This window comes from Homo sapiens, chromosome 13 (assembly GCF_000001405.40).
Source record: "Homo sapiens chromosome 13, GRCh38.p14 Primary Assembly".
In the NCBI taxonomy this organism is placed as follows: domain Eukaryota; kingdom Metazoa; phylum Chordata; class Mammalia; order Primates; family Hominidae; genus Homo; species Homo sapiens.
The window spans coordinates 59,990,032-60,005,402 of record NC_000013.11 but is presented as its reverse complement, the minus strand read 5'-3'; the positions used below and the strand labels follow the sequence as shown (position 1 = coordinate 60,005,402).

At 34.8% G+C, this 15,371-nt stretch overlaps 1 protein-coding gene across 19 annotated transcripts in view; it reads left to right on the top strand.

Moving 5' to 3' along the window:
- Nucleotides 1-15,371, top strand: part of DIAPH3 (diaphanous related formin 3) — a 498,346-nt gene that overhangs the window by 158,526 nt on the left and 324,449 nt on the right. For all 19 annotated transcript variants that reach the window (XR_002957478.1, XR_002957480.1, XR_941672.1 and 16 more), the window contains 3 exons: nucleotides 12,820-12,930; nucleotides 13,217-13,335; nucleotides 14,129-14,245. Coding sequence is in view for 14 of the 19 variants with exons in the window: in NM_001258368.2 (NP_001245297.1) it covers nucleotides 12,820-12,930; nucleotides 13,217-13,335; nucleotides 14,129-14,245 (347 nt within the window). In the remaining 5 variants the exon portion in view is untranslated. The remainder of the gene's footprint in view (nucleotides 1-12,819; nucleotides 12,931-13,216; nucleotides 13,336-14,128; nucleotides 14,246-15,371) is intronic.

Below are 15,371 nucleotides of genomic sequence, written 5' to 3'. Positions count from 1 at the left end.
ACCCAAAAGAAAGTCCCCATCCCTTAGCTATAACTCCACAATCTTTGATTCTCTCTAGCCTGAGACAACTATTGATCTACTTTCTGTCTTTATAGAGTTGCATATTCCAGACATTTCACGTAAATGTAATCATGCATTATGTGGATCTTTGTGATTGGCTTTTTTTACTTATTAATAGCAAAATATTTTAGAGGTTCGTTCATGTTGGAGTACTGCATTTTAAAAAATCGCCACATAATCGTCTGTCATGAGTGTACCACATTTTATCAGCTGTCAGTCGACAGACATTCAGGTTGTTTCTACTCTTTGGCTGTTATGAAAAATGCTGCTGTGAACATTTGTGGAGTTGATTTCTTTTTAAACTACTGCTTATTTGCCATATTTAGTGTTGAGTGAATAGAGGTAGGGAGGAGGAGAGCTTAGAGCAATGTTTTCCTTCCGTAGTTATGGAAGTCACGGGAATGATACAGTTTCTTTTTAATTTTTAATTTTTGTGGGACATAGTAGGTGATGATTCAATTTTTGAAAAATTTTTGCCAATATATAAGTAGCTGATTATATTTGCTTTTATGAAACTAATTGCTTTAGTTGTAATTATATTTTCTGTTACAGTTAGTAGTAGTGTTAATTATTTGATATCCTGTAAACACTAAAATAAATTTCTTGATATAGTTCTTAGAGCTTAATTTTTAAGAAGTGAAAGATTATTTTAGCATCATTCAAATTTATTTCTTTCTCATTTTTCTGATATGTTCAGGTTAAATTTCCATGCTCTTAATTGGGAATAGAAAATGGAAAGAATTGTTTTACATTCTTATTTTTTCTATTCAAATATTTTGTTGAAGGCTTTTACTCCTTAATAAAGGTTTCTCATTGTTTTTAAGCCTAATGTGTGAAATAGCTAGCAGGTAGCAGGCTTCAGAGTAAAAGATACCATTTTCTATAGTGCTAACTTAGGCCAAACAAACAAAAAAAGGTAACATAGATACTCTTTTCTGCATATTGCAGGTTATGCTCTTTCTAAAAATTGTAGTAATATCTAAAAATACCTATTTCTCTGTCTTTCTGAATTTTCCACAAATAAAGTAAATTTTGAGGTGGCTGGCTATCAATTTTCCTATAAAACTATTTGTACCCATTTTATTCCATTTTAATAAATTGCATTATTAAAATGTGCTAAACTAGATGACATTAGCAAATCGCCAATTAAAAATAAAACTTGTTTATTGGTGAATAAAATAGGAACCAATTGTTTACTTTTAAATTGGAGAAAATGAGATAGCAAAATAAACACATTCTTCATTATTCTTTTACTGCAAAGTATATTTATGACAAAGTATTTTTTTTAAAGGAGAATAAGGAGAATTGTTACTTTTTTGTTATTCTGATCCTAATAATGATAATTTGTTTATGATTATGATAGAATTGTGCACACTTCCCCCATTTGATATTATATAGTAAGAAAATGTTAAACTTTGTACTTGGAATAACTTTATTCTCAGGCCTTGAAGAATATTATCAGGGGCCGTGCGTGGTGGCCCACGTCTGTAATCCCAGCACTTTGGGAGGCCGAGACAGACGAATCACAAGGTCAGGAGATTGAGACCATCCTGGCTAACCTGGTGAAACCCCGTCTCTACTAAAAATACAAAGAAAAAAAAAATTGCCTTGCGTGTTGGTGGGTGCCTATAGTCCCAGCTACTCGGGAGGCTGAGGCAGGAGAATGGCGTGAACCCAGGAGGCGGTGCTTGCAGTGAGCCGAGATCGCGCCACTGCACTCCAGCCTGGCTGACAGAGCAAGACTCCATCTCATAAAAAATATATATATATCTATATCTATCTATCTATCTATATATAGATAGATAGATATATCTATATATATATGTATACACACATACATATATATTATCAGGAAAGAAAGTACAAATATAAATCTAGGACTTAAAATAAGCATACATTACTTTTTTTTCAAACATCAGACAGGGTTTCTCAGCTGCAAGCAACATAATCACTCTGGGTAATTTAAGCAGAAAATGTTATTACAAAATTAAATATGCTATGAAACAAATTGAACAGATTTCATCATAGCCTATATCAATTAATTACTTCACAAATTTTGTACCTACCTTACAAAATTTCTGGTAGGCCCAGGGAATCATGTGGGTGGTCTGTAGCTAGAAGTAATACAGAAGATACGCTGCACTGTATCACAGCAATGCTCTAATGGAAGTGCCACTCCCAACTCTCTGCTGTGGTCAGCACTTGTGACACCAGGGACAGACAGCCTTCTGCCACAGTTGCCCCAGGAGAACCAAACCCTCCATCGTAGTGTCCATTGTTCATGTGTGTGCTTGTCCCTCATGTTGGCCAGTTTTTCCTTAGTAGAAAAGGACTGGGATAAGTATTGGTTAACCAATCTCTAGTTTCTGCCGTCCTTTAATCTTCTGTTATTTTTATTTCTCTCCTCTTTTTCTTTTCCTTTCTGTGTCTTCTGTCTACTCTTGTCAGGGTCATACTTTCCTGGAGTATCAAGAGCATTTTCTAGATTTCAAAGAGTTTGTTGAAACCCTTGCTGTTGGTCATACGACTGATTGAATTGTGATATATTTTTGGAAGGGAACCAAAACATGGGAATCCTAGAGCATTTTGGGTGGATATTTGGTTCTTCTTCTGTGTATATGTCCTCAGGTCTGCAGTGATAGAATGCTGTAACTTCCTTTTCCTGTGGTTTCTCCCTGATCCAGTACCCATGAAGTTGCTGATGGGAGGGTCAGGAACATGAATGGTCTTAGACGATCTGCCACTTGTAAACTGACATGTTAGTCTGTCATAGTTCTATTGGTGCTGTCAAAAGACGTGAACTCCTAGGTTAAAAACAAAGGATTTTATTGCTCACAGCAATAGCAGTAGGCTGAGTATCAGCTTTGTGTCAGTCCCAAAGCCCATATTGTGACACTCATAGTGTAATGTGAATACTGCCAGTTGCAGTGGGTTGTGTTTTAGGAGAGAAACCTTGAGCATAGGGAATATTACTTTTATATTATGGGCAGCAATGACTGTAATTGATCTGATTGATACAGGCTATGATGAAATCTGTTCAGTTTGTTTCATAGCATACTTAATTAAGTTCAGGAGAGACTGTGGGCAGCAGAATGAGTCCTGTCTGAAGTATTTGCCTCAGTCCTGCCTTCCAGGTCCCAGATCTAGTCAGCTGAACAAATCCCATAATCCAGTAAATCATCAGAGTCTACCTTAGAACACCAGGTGGCTTTCTTTTTAAATTTTTTGATTCATCTTTCCACTTGGCCCGAGGTGTTAATTCAGATACAGTATGATGTGTTAGTGATTGCGCAAACTTCCCCTTGTTCAGCAAAGAAGTCTAGGACAATTCTTTCTTCATAACAATCCTGGTCAGTGAGTTGAAGCTGACCTGATTGCCTCCCAGGGCTGATGTGGTGTCACTGATCACTTTAGCTGAAATCAGGCACAGATTTTTTACCACTTCCCATTGTAGGGATAACTGCCTGCAGAGTACACATAGTAAGTCAGTTTTTTTCTCCAGGAAGCTCCCCAGAGTAACTAAGCATAGCTTCCATTTGGAGAGAACTCCATAGTTGCCTAAGAGTTGCATGACATACTGGTGGCATTTCTTTAAACACTTGAACATTTCTTATGATCATACCTGTAGGGTTCAAGTCATGGTGTTTTTGAAGAGAGAGGCAAGTTAATGCCTGTCTTTCACATAAGATAAATAGTCTTGAAAGGTGTACATGGTGCTCCTGGAAGGAAAGTGTTGTTTGTAGTTGTTGGGACTACCCAAATAGGAACTTTATTAGTTAAGGGACTACAGGGTGGCAGAGCTTTCAACTTGGCTTCCAGGTGGCTGATAAATTTTACAGTTCTTGGTTCAGGAAATAATTAAGTCTAACAATTTTTGGAGGGACTGTCTGAAGACAGTCAGTCCAACTTATTCCTTTTTGTCAGTGCCATTCACCCACTCCACAGAATGACTGAGCTACAGTTATGGGAGTTGGAATGGGGTTGACATCCAGAGAGAAGGGAAGATGTTTTGCATGGGAGATGCAGGAGCTGGATCTATTCTGATTGACCTCTTAGTAAAGTGTAGGTAATGGTAATCAAATCATGGTCAGAACTTTCTGGTGGTAAATGGCAGGATGTGCTGTAGGAGAGGAACTTTGAACTTGCCTGCACTTTGCTCTAAAAGACATTATCTTTATTATACTAGACATGAAGTGAGCCTGCTCTTTGCTCTGGAGAGATATGCTGTTTTCCAAGATTGTTTTGTATACACACATCCTTGAAGAGCATCTAGATCAAAGACCATCAATGTCTTTACTTGCAATACAAGTGGAAATGAAATATGAGAGACCCAGGGAGAATTGTCTTGCAACAGACAGAAGACCACAAATCTCCTAGTGTCACCTTGGCTACTTTTCCTTTAGCCCGGTTCTTCTAATGTTGTTCCTATACATTGGTTTTATCTTGGATGTAGATTGAATGGAATGAAACCCTCATTAATTTTGATTCTTGGAAATACCTCAAGAATATTTTCCCTATGTTAGTTACTGAATAAAGGGAAAACATGATTTCCAAAGTTTCTGAGTCCAGAGAGGAGAAATAATTATGTCAGAGAGCAAATAAAGGAAAAGATGGGAAGCTTGTTTCAGAGAGAAAAAATTGTTTGGTTGTCTTTGATGGTTTGATGTGAATCTGTAGCATCTTTAGTTCTGAGCTTGCTCACTTAAAATATATACTTAAATCCTTTTACTTAATTTCATTCAGGGTTCTAAATATCTGATTTTAGTATACTCTTTAGATATAATACCAATAGCTGGGTTTATGTTGTCCTTCTGTGGATCTCTACTTGTTATGATTATCTAGTAAAGATGACCCAGATCTTGTCATTTCTTTACCCACTGTTGAAATACATAGCCATTGTTTGCTTTAGGTTTTTTTTTTTCCTATTGTGGTAGGATATATATAACATGAAATTTACCATTTTAACCATCTTTGAGAGTATAGTTCAGTGACATTAAACACATTCACATTGTTGTGCAACCCTTATATCTTCAGGCTTCTTAAGCTATGGTGATAACAGTGATGCAGTACTGGACAGGGGTGATTGATGGTTGGTATGTCTTTCTAGGATTCCTGTGGTAGATATTTCTCTACCCTAGAATATATTTTTCAAGGAAGCAAAAGCAAGGAATATAATCCAGGCTATTGGTGTCTCTGGAAATATTACTAGAGAAAATCTGTGTTCCAAATGTATTTCAGTGTCTGGCATACACATGGTCTTAACCCGTATCTCATAGTAACATATGAAAATACAGAAGCTGGTCATATATAAAGAACAAGAAGAAAAAGCAAAAGTGTTCTGTTAAATACCTAAAAAATAAGAAATTTGATTAAGCTTCAGTTATAATACTTATGAGTCTGACAATTTGAAAATGATAACCCTTGTTGAAACTTGCATTGTGAAATGAGGCTGTTAGTCTTGGTTCTATGAGAAGCAAGAGGTTTGATGTGTAAGGGACTAGAGGAAATGCCTGTGAGAGACCCTGGAGGAGGAGCTGGGGGAGGCTGGGAGAACTGTCAAACTCAATGCAGATCTGACTCTAGGTGAAGGAGAGTGGGAAGGAGTGGAGATGGGGTGAAAGTGTCTCAGGCTGCCCTGAAATTCTAAGAGAGCTTGACAAGCCTGTTGGGGAATCCTTGAGCCAAAGTCCCATGTGTCCCAGGAACAGGTCTATTTTAGTATACTTGCTGTGCTCAAGCCTTGGCTGGGAGCAGGGAACTGTGACTTCAATTCAAATGCTGTGATAGCTTTCAGAAGGTAGCAGCTGGGGCTGTAGGCCATTTATGTTTCCTGCAGTCAAAGACTGAGAGTTGCATTGTTATGGCTGCTGCAAAGATAGTTAAATTTTTCCTTAACTTAAAAAAAAACTCTTCAATCTGTGGATTTCATTAAGTTTAATTAGAAGATAGATCTTTGAAAGTTTGATGGGATTGCATTTTTCCATGTCTGAAAAAGTAGAAAAAGCAATATTTTTATAAATTAAAAAGGATAACTTTTTATCATTATATAAATAGTTTCATTAAAGTATCAAAAATAGTACCAAAAACCTTTCTTAAGTGAGGGATAATCACTATATTTTGAAATTTGTCAATGGGCAATAATCAGACAAATATGCCATTGAATACTCACATTAAAACAAATTAGAGGTTAAATGCCTTTCTGGATTTAGCCAAGTATATTTGCTTTGGTTGATTTTGTTCCACCTACCACTTTAATCTTCAAAGTTTACCCAGGTTTTATTATGCCCAAGACCAAGTAAAGGTCTTATAATAAACAGTTATATCTTGATTTACTATTTTTTGTTTTAAGTGTCTCTTCTGTTCCATCAAATAATTATTAATTAATTTTCTATTTTAAATAAACTTTTCTCACATTTAGTGAAGGACTAAATGAAGAATACAGACTATTAGTAAAAGGCTTATTTTTAGGATCATTGTTGAGCTATCCCGGAAGGATGCAAATGTTAATTTGTTTTAATTCCTTTCTCTTCTGACTACTACTTTTATTGAGGTTTGCATGAATAGGGTTGATATATAAGTACCAATCAATTAAAACATCAACCATATTAAAATGGATCAGTAAATAATAAGCCAGTATGCTAGTAGACATTAAAGGAACAGATAATATTCTAATGTGAACTCATATTATCATATGGAGCATACCCAAGTATAAACTAATGGTTATCATTATCTAGAGTTTACTGGCAGTTTTCTGAATCTACCTAATAAGTCTATATAATACATTTCTTCATTTATTCTACAGTGGACAACTAGAAAGATAATTAATGTCTTGAAGGTAACTAAAAAGTTTCATAATTAACCGATCAATTACTTAGTTATTCAGTGACTGCTAGGTACTGGGCTATGCTGGGTATTGGAACTACAAAGTTGAGTGAAATACACCTCTGCCCTTAAGAAGCTTATACTCAAGAATTTAAAGCCATCTAACATTTCATACGAAAATTGCAATAAAGGCAGTTTTAGAAAAAGGCATGGGAGGACATAGAAGAAATTAATGATGTCTTGGGGGAGTTTTCAAATAAATATTTTAAGAATTCAAGTTTGTTCTTTAGTATCCCTGGTATAAATTATAGCTTCTTGAGTCCTGCATTTTATTTCTCTGAGTCAATGTGGGGTATATGCAGTTACTTCAATGCATGTGTATAAAATTTTAAAATCTTTGGAATTTCTCTATTTACACTAGAGGCAAAATATTTCTCCATAAGCATCATTTACTCATTTTAACTTGATAAATGTGAAATTTAATTGTGCAAAGAGAGACAGATGATTTCTGCTATGGGGTAGGAAAGATGAATAGCAGTCTAAACTGTATCTTCCAGGCCCAGATAATAAGCTTTTGCAGCCTCTGATAGAATTTTTATTTAAGTATTTTACTGGTTCTTGTTTTCAATCTGGATTTAGCTCCTGAAGCTGATATGTTGTTGCATTGTAGAGCCACGATTTAATTGTAAAAACATCTACTTATACCCAGGATGAACATGTTGACTCAAGAGTAAACTTTCTAAGAACTACTTACTTTTGCTATTAGACAACTTTCTAAATCTCATCAGCGCAATCAGGTTGAAAGCTTCTGCTCTGTCGGCCTTTGGAAAAACTGGATGGTCCTCGTGGATGGGGCTCAGGGATAGTACCTGTTAGTGAACCTTGAATTTTGTGCTTAAGTTTGTTGTCCAAAAAAGGGTCAGGGAACCAAAGGTTAGAAAAAAACAGTCTCATTACCGAGTATCCACCCAAAAGAAAATAAATAAATATTTCAAAGGGATGCTGGCACTCATGTGTTTATTACAGCACTATTCACAATAGCAAAGATATGGAATAAACCTAAGTGTTTATCAGTGGATGAATGGATAAAGAAAATGTGGTACATATTCACTGTGGAATACTATTCAGCCATAAAAAGGAACGAACTCCTGTCATTTGCAGCAACATAGATGGAACTGGAGGCTATTAAGAAAAATCAGCTAAGCACAGAGAGACAAATATCACATGTTCTCACTTATATGTTGGAGCTAAAAATTGTGATCACATGGATGTAGAAAGTGGAAAGATAACAGTCTGGGAAGAGTGAGTGGGGGCAGAGGAGGAAGGATGAAGAGAAGTGTGTAAAGGGTGCAAACATATGGTAGAAGGGATAAGTTTAATGTTTGATAGCAGAATAGAGTGACTGTATCTGACCAAATAAATATGTTGTACTTGGGGAATAGACACCCTAAATACCTTGACTTGATCACTGCACCTTATATGCATGTAACAAGATTTCTCATGTACAATAAATTTGTACAAATAAACACATTTGTCTTTTCTCATATTTGTGTTGAACATAGTAATTGCAGTAAATTATGTACCAAAGGAAATTTAGGTACTATATATTCACATATGAAGAAAACTTCTCACTTTATTTTCAAGGGCAGAAAGCCACTTTGCTGATTCAGTGATGTAGATGTAGTGGCATGTTCCTCTATCTTGTTGTTAACCTCTTTCGGCTTCTAATGATTTTCCTTTGATCGTTTGCCCTGTTCTTAAGATGGCCTTTGACTCGCTCTGCCCCACATATTGAATATCTTTGAGATTTCTATTTACAGCTTATCTACTTTATTGGCCCCTGTTATGTCTTTACCTTCCTACTTTATGGTATTGCTGACTTTTGTCCCACTCTTTGTCATTACCTTTTTGGCCGCTCGCTTTCCAGTCTTAGGCTGTCTGGAGTTTGCTGATGTCAGTCCTTGTACTATACTTTTAGTTTACTGCTGCCCTAAGGAAATCCTCAACTATCCTGAATCATAGATGGACACACACCCCTCCAGCTAGAAGTTACGTTTAAAATACCTTTTCTCACAGAAGACCCTTTTTGATAATTGACACAAGAGTAATAAAGTGAGCTTACAGTATTGGCTTTCCAAACCATTAGAATTGAATTTGTAATCCATAACACCTAGAGATAAGTGTCTTTACATAGACTTTTTAAAAACAAAGATAAAGGAGCAGTTACTTCTAACATATAAAGATGCATTTAGGGCAAAGAGGAGAATATTTTACAGCAATTGTTTGTTTACTGGCTGCATATGGCATCTGTGGGGAGGCAAGTAGTTTCTGCTTGGAACAGTAACTCTATCCCTTTGTAGAAACTATTCTTGTCAAGTCACCAGTGTTTTCATTTTGCCAAATGCAGTGGTAATTGATTAGTCCTTGTTTTATTTGACCAGTTGACACAGTTGATCACTCTCTCACTGTTGAGACCACTTTCCATACTTCCAGGACACCACAATCTCCTTGTTTTCCTTCTACCTCACTTATGGTTTTTAACTTTTCTTTTTCTTTAACTTATTTCTCTAATCTCCATGTTGAAACCTACGGTTGAAAATGCCCTAAACAGTTCTGACACCTCCTTTTTCCTCTATACTGTCGTGATTCCATCTGAGGTCTTGGTTTTTACGTATTATTGCTATGGCAATTGCTTTATTTTGAACTGGAGTCTTCTATCTTCAATTTCCTTCGCAGCTTTTAAGATTTAGATCACTAATAGGCATTTCCAACTTATCATCTCCAAAACTGATTTCCTCTCTCTTCCCAAGCCTGTTTTCTCCCGTGGTCATTTCTGTTTCAATAAATTACAATTTCATCCTTTAAGTTGCTCAGGCCCAAAACCTTGGAGTCAGTCTTGACTCCTCTTTCTCTCAAAGAAATTTCCATCTTTTTTCACAGCTGTATGTCTAGCACCAAGAACAGTGCCTGGTATATAGTAGGCATCAATAAATAGGCTTTGAAGGAATGAAGTATGTGAGCCAATATCGGGGTAAACTGCTTCTGATGCCCTAAGATGGAACCTTTAGTTAACTAGATGCTCTCAAGAAGATGGAAGTTCCTTGTTTTCTTACCCTTATTAGCGCAGAGGGAGGTTGGTTTTGTAATGTATCATAACGATTTCTGTAACATGCAAATTAAGAGAGATCATATGCTACATTTTTGGAACATCAACTAGAGCACAGAGATTACTTCCTTATGACGAACATCTCACTTTTGGTTCTCATTTTTTGAGTATGAGTATCTCCAGTTGACAGAAGTTGTAGGTAGTCAGTAATTGTTTTTTTAATGAATGAATGATTCTAATATACATCTCAATCAGAATTTTGAAAGTAGGATTTATCCTATTCTCTAAAACCTGTTGCTCTTCTTACATTTTGTATGTCTGCTAATGGTACCACTTTCTATCTAGTTAAATAACAAAAGTGGGAGGCCTCTTGTAAATGCTTTTCTTCTACCTCATTCTATCAATTTTTCTTCATATTTCAAATGTTTGAACCTTCCTCCTTGCTCAAAAATTTACTTCTACAACAGCTTCTGAACTTGAATCTATTGCCTCTGTTATTGTGCCCCTGTTGCATAAAATTCCTTATGATTTTCACTATTTCTGGTTGAATCTGAATTTTGTGACTTGACACACAAGGCTATGCCCTCTCTCCTGTCTCCTTGTTCAACCTCATTTCTTGACTTCTTCCCGTTACTCCCCTTTCTACCTTGACAAACCGCTCATAAAATTTGAATTGCTTGTAATTTAAAGGTTCCATGTCTTTGAACATGTTAATTCCTCGGCTTAGATCTTCCTTCTTCACTTCTTCATCAGGCCATTTTATTAATCCTTTAGTTAGTACTTTATTCAGCTGTCTTAGTTCTCATTTAGCATCTCCATATTCCCATTATTTACCAAACATATTTCTTACAGTATATAGTATATTTTTATCATTTTACTGATATATCTTCATTGGACAGGCAAAATGTCCTGTTAACCTTTGTAGTTTTTTAACGTTTCTCGATATCTCTAGGCGTTGATTGATATGGCATAAATGCTGATTGACACTCCCTTCTGCTGGTATGCTAAATTATTGTGAAATTGTGTGATACCGCAGGTATGTATCTCATTATGTATAAAACCTACAAGGAACTCCTTGGTCTTTACCTTGATTATAGAATTATTTATCCATAAAGAAACAATGCATTTTAGTGCATACCTATGTGTATTCACAGACATGTTTGCATGATTTAAATTAAATAGATTGTAAGCCATGCTAATGGCAAATTATGATTAGAATTGGGAAGCAATTTTATAAATTTAACTTGAATTCATTATTTCAATTTAATTTCCTATTTTTTTTCTTCTATGGAGAATCACCTTTTTGAATAGTTCCCGGAAATAATTTGGATTATCCTTTCCCTTATTTCTAAATTTCATGCTACTGTTGTCTACATATATGTATTTTCCATTTAGGTAATATTTGCTGCTAGTTTTTGTGTTCCTTGTTTTTGCTACTTTCTGTGAGTTATCTGTAATTTGTGTTTTTCTAGAAGCCAGGTGACTGAGTTTGATTTAGTTTCTCTGAATGTAGAGAAGCATTATTTGCTCTTTGAGATCTTTAAAAATTATATGGCATTGCTGAAGAAAACATTTGTGGGTCCTGGGTAATGACTGGCAAGGGGGTGGAAGGAAAACATTTTAAACTTGACTTTTTGACATGAACTGGTTACAGCTGAATGAACATGTACTGGAAAGGTAGATTCTGTTAAGTTTTTTTTTTTTTTTTTTTTAAGTATGTTTCTCTTCTTCCTCTCTCTTCTGACATATTTCCCATTCCCACTTTAAACAACCTTAAGTTTCGACAGTAGAGGCATGCTGGTCAGATTTTAATGCTTAGATATCAAATATAACAATTACTATATATTTCAAACAGCAGGAATTGAGAATTCTGTTGGTGTCTTACTCCAAAACAGCATTTTAAATTCATATAAACCTTGCCTTAAGGGATGGAGAAAAGACAATTTAGGGAACAGCATGAGGTTAAACATATTGATCAGTAGTCCAGTAGTTCTTGCTAGACTTGGATAGAATGTAGACTTTAGAAAAATAGTATTATCAACAACAACAAAGAATGCTTCTCTAGAAAGACTGTCTTTTGTTTCCATTTTATGGATTTTGGAGGATGAAAGATATATTTTAGCCAGGGATGAAAAAAGTGGAGAAGTTGAAAGTTGAAGTGTTAAACATGAGCTGAAAATTTTGTGATTTAAAAATTTTTATCATTTAAGCTATATATTAAAGGATTTAGTGAGCTCTGTTATTTATTTCTGGTTAAAACATAGGGTAATTTTGAATTTTTGCCAAAGTATGAGAACCATTGCCTGATAAATTAACTTCTAGAAATTAATTATACAGTGTTTATTTATAACCTTGTTAACTAGAGTTAAGACCCTTGTTGACCTTGAAGTCTTTGGGACTTTGAGTCTCTCTTGATGAATGGAAAACTATTTTATTATCCTATTTTAGGTAAGTGTTATCTATCCAATAGGTATATTGGATATGTTCAATTTCTGTTGTATGTGTGTAGAGTGATATTATTGGACAAGAACTTAGCTTTTGGTTACAAGTGTTTTTTTTTTTTTTTTTCTATTTTTTTATGGAGCAGTAGTAACGGCTAATATTTTTCCATCTTCCTTTCACCTCAGTAACCCTCAAATAAATGAGAAATAAAAAACGCCACTGAAACTTTATTTCTTCTGTAGTTTATAACTGACTGAAATATTTTGCTTACAAATTGTTTTAATAGGAAAGATATTTAATAATGCTGGAACAAAACCTTGAAGTTTACGTTTGTTACTCTTTCTTTAATGTTGGAAACCCAGTCTGTCTCACTGTTTGATCTCTTGTAGGTAGCTTGTATGCAGCTCATCAATGCCCTGGTTACATCTCCTGATGATTTGGATTTCAGGCTTCACATCAGAAATGAATTTATGCGTTGTGGATTGAAAGAGATATTGCCAGTAAGTGCCCTGCAGTCTCCTTATTAATATTTAAATTAAAAGAGTACTTGAGTAGGGGGAAATTTAGATAAATTACCTTGAAGAATAATTTATCTGTGGGAAAAGGCTTGAGTTAAAAAATCTATTTTTGAAATATAGATGATAAGATTCGAGTGTTATTTAACACTTTAAATGTTCGAATGCTATAAATCAAGTTGAATGGTTGGTTTATTGTTTATATGTTTTTTATTCTTTTGCATAATTAAAAACAAAATCATTCATCATAATTTCTATTTCATATCTCTAGAATTTAAAATGCATTAAGAATGATGGCCTGGATATCCAACTTAAAGTCTTTGATGAGCATAAAGAAGAAGATTTGTTTGAGTTATCCCATCGCCTTGAAGATATTAGAGCTGAACTTGAATATCCTTTTGTTCTGAAGTCTAGTCAAATCATATATAAAATTATTGCTAAATCCAAAATACTCAGCCACAAATATTTAGCTCATTTCTATATAAACAACATGAAATCAAACCTTCATGCATCAGAAGAATGTTATTATTTTATTAATTTGTGTGTTTTTATGAATACACATATATGTAAGCGTATGCTGCAACTAACAAATGGATTCTGTAGATTGGTTTCTTATATGTATGTGTGCAATCTATTTTGTTTTCTTTTTATATTTGACACTTTTCCTTCTACTTAGGGCTTTTTAGCATTAGGAATAGGGCAGCCTTAGTCACTGGCTGCTCTTTCCCTGCATCTTGGGTGCATACTCATGGGTCGCATGTTAATCTGTGGGTCTGCAGACGTCTGTGCTCCTCATGAGACCCAACAGGTTCCTATCCTCACCTGGGGCTTCTTCATGGTAGATAATTAACCTGACCACCAGCTCTGTTGGTCAGGCAACCTTTAGAATTCAACACAGTATTCATAGCCAGCTTCCCTACTACCTTTGTTCCCAACAGCATCTGTGCTTAGGGGAGACAGATTAGTTGGAACTGATTGTAGAAGGGAAGTCAGGAAGTGTCAGGTTAAGTCACCATTTCCAGAGTTTTTCCACTACCCTCAATCCTAAATATCTGTATTTTATGTTGAATATATAAGATGCCTGTATTACAGTTCCAAAACCTTACAGGACAAATTCTGTCATATTATTATAGTTGTTTGGTGTAGAGTATAAATAAATCCATATATTCCTTAATCAACTCACTGAAGCATATGATGTTTACAACATGGTGTGGAGCACAGTTAAAGAAACTAGAGCAGAGGGATATTTTATTTCTATTCTTCAGCATCTTTTGCTGATTCGAAATGATTATTTTATAAGGTAAGAGGAAGTTGTATTCTAATGTTTTCTTTCACTAATAAAAATCTATTAATTGTGAAATTCACATCATATTTGCCTTTGACAAGCAAATGATTTTTATTTTTGTCATAACACTGATTCATAGAATGTGTTGTTTTCTCTGGGCATATATTTAGGTAGACGATGGTAAAATGATATTACTATTACTTTTTAAGCTCCTGTGGATTCCTGGTTACAACCTTTCATCTGAATAAAAATGCAAACTAGCAACAAATTACTAGTTTATCATGTGACAGATAATATTTTCTAGTTATTTCTTAGGCAGTAGGAATGATGTTGATAAGTTTCTTCTTATAAGTTACATGAAGGGCACTAAACATTGCTTTTATTAGTGTTTAAGTAGCTGGCAAGTCTTAATAATACAGTTGCGTTTAATGTTGCTAATATATCAAAAAGCCAGACAAATGGCTTTTAAAGATTGATTATATCCTAGCCATCTGAGGTTAACAAATTATTTATCTTTCTTTTAACCTCATCTACATTATAATGTGACTAAATATGGAGATTAGTGCCTAACTCACTGGGTTGTTAGGCAGATGAAATATGGGAATGTGGGTAAAAGTTCTAGCCAAACCCTTGGCATATGGTGTATGCTTAGTAAATGTTCTCTATATCTACTTTCCATTTCTATTACTGTTTTATGGTGGAAGCTGAGCTCTTTGAATATAAAATCATTTTGTTGCCACCAATTTAGGTTTGCTGAAATTTCATTCTCTTATACTTTGGGTGTTTTTTTCTTTTCTACTTAATTTCAAGTAGAAGAGTTTTTTAGACAAGCTTCATTCAGGCTGTGTCCTCGGGGTAACATCAGAGGGTATGACTCAGTGATTTTTTGATGTACCTAACAAGCAAGGAGGAGACCCAAAATGTTAAAACTTTAGGTTTTTCAGGATGAGGATAGGACATGCATCAAAATTACTCTCTTTGTAGCCAGAAATCCCACTGATATTCTAAAATATGAGTTTAGTAACTGATTTTTTTAATTTGCTCCTTTCTGATATTTTATTAAAAATAAACCAGTTTAAATATTTATATTATAAATGCTAGATTAAGAATTGCTAATTTAGATTTTTAAAATATCATTTGT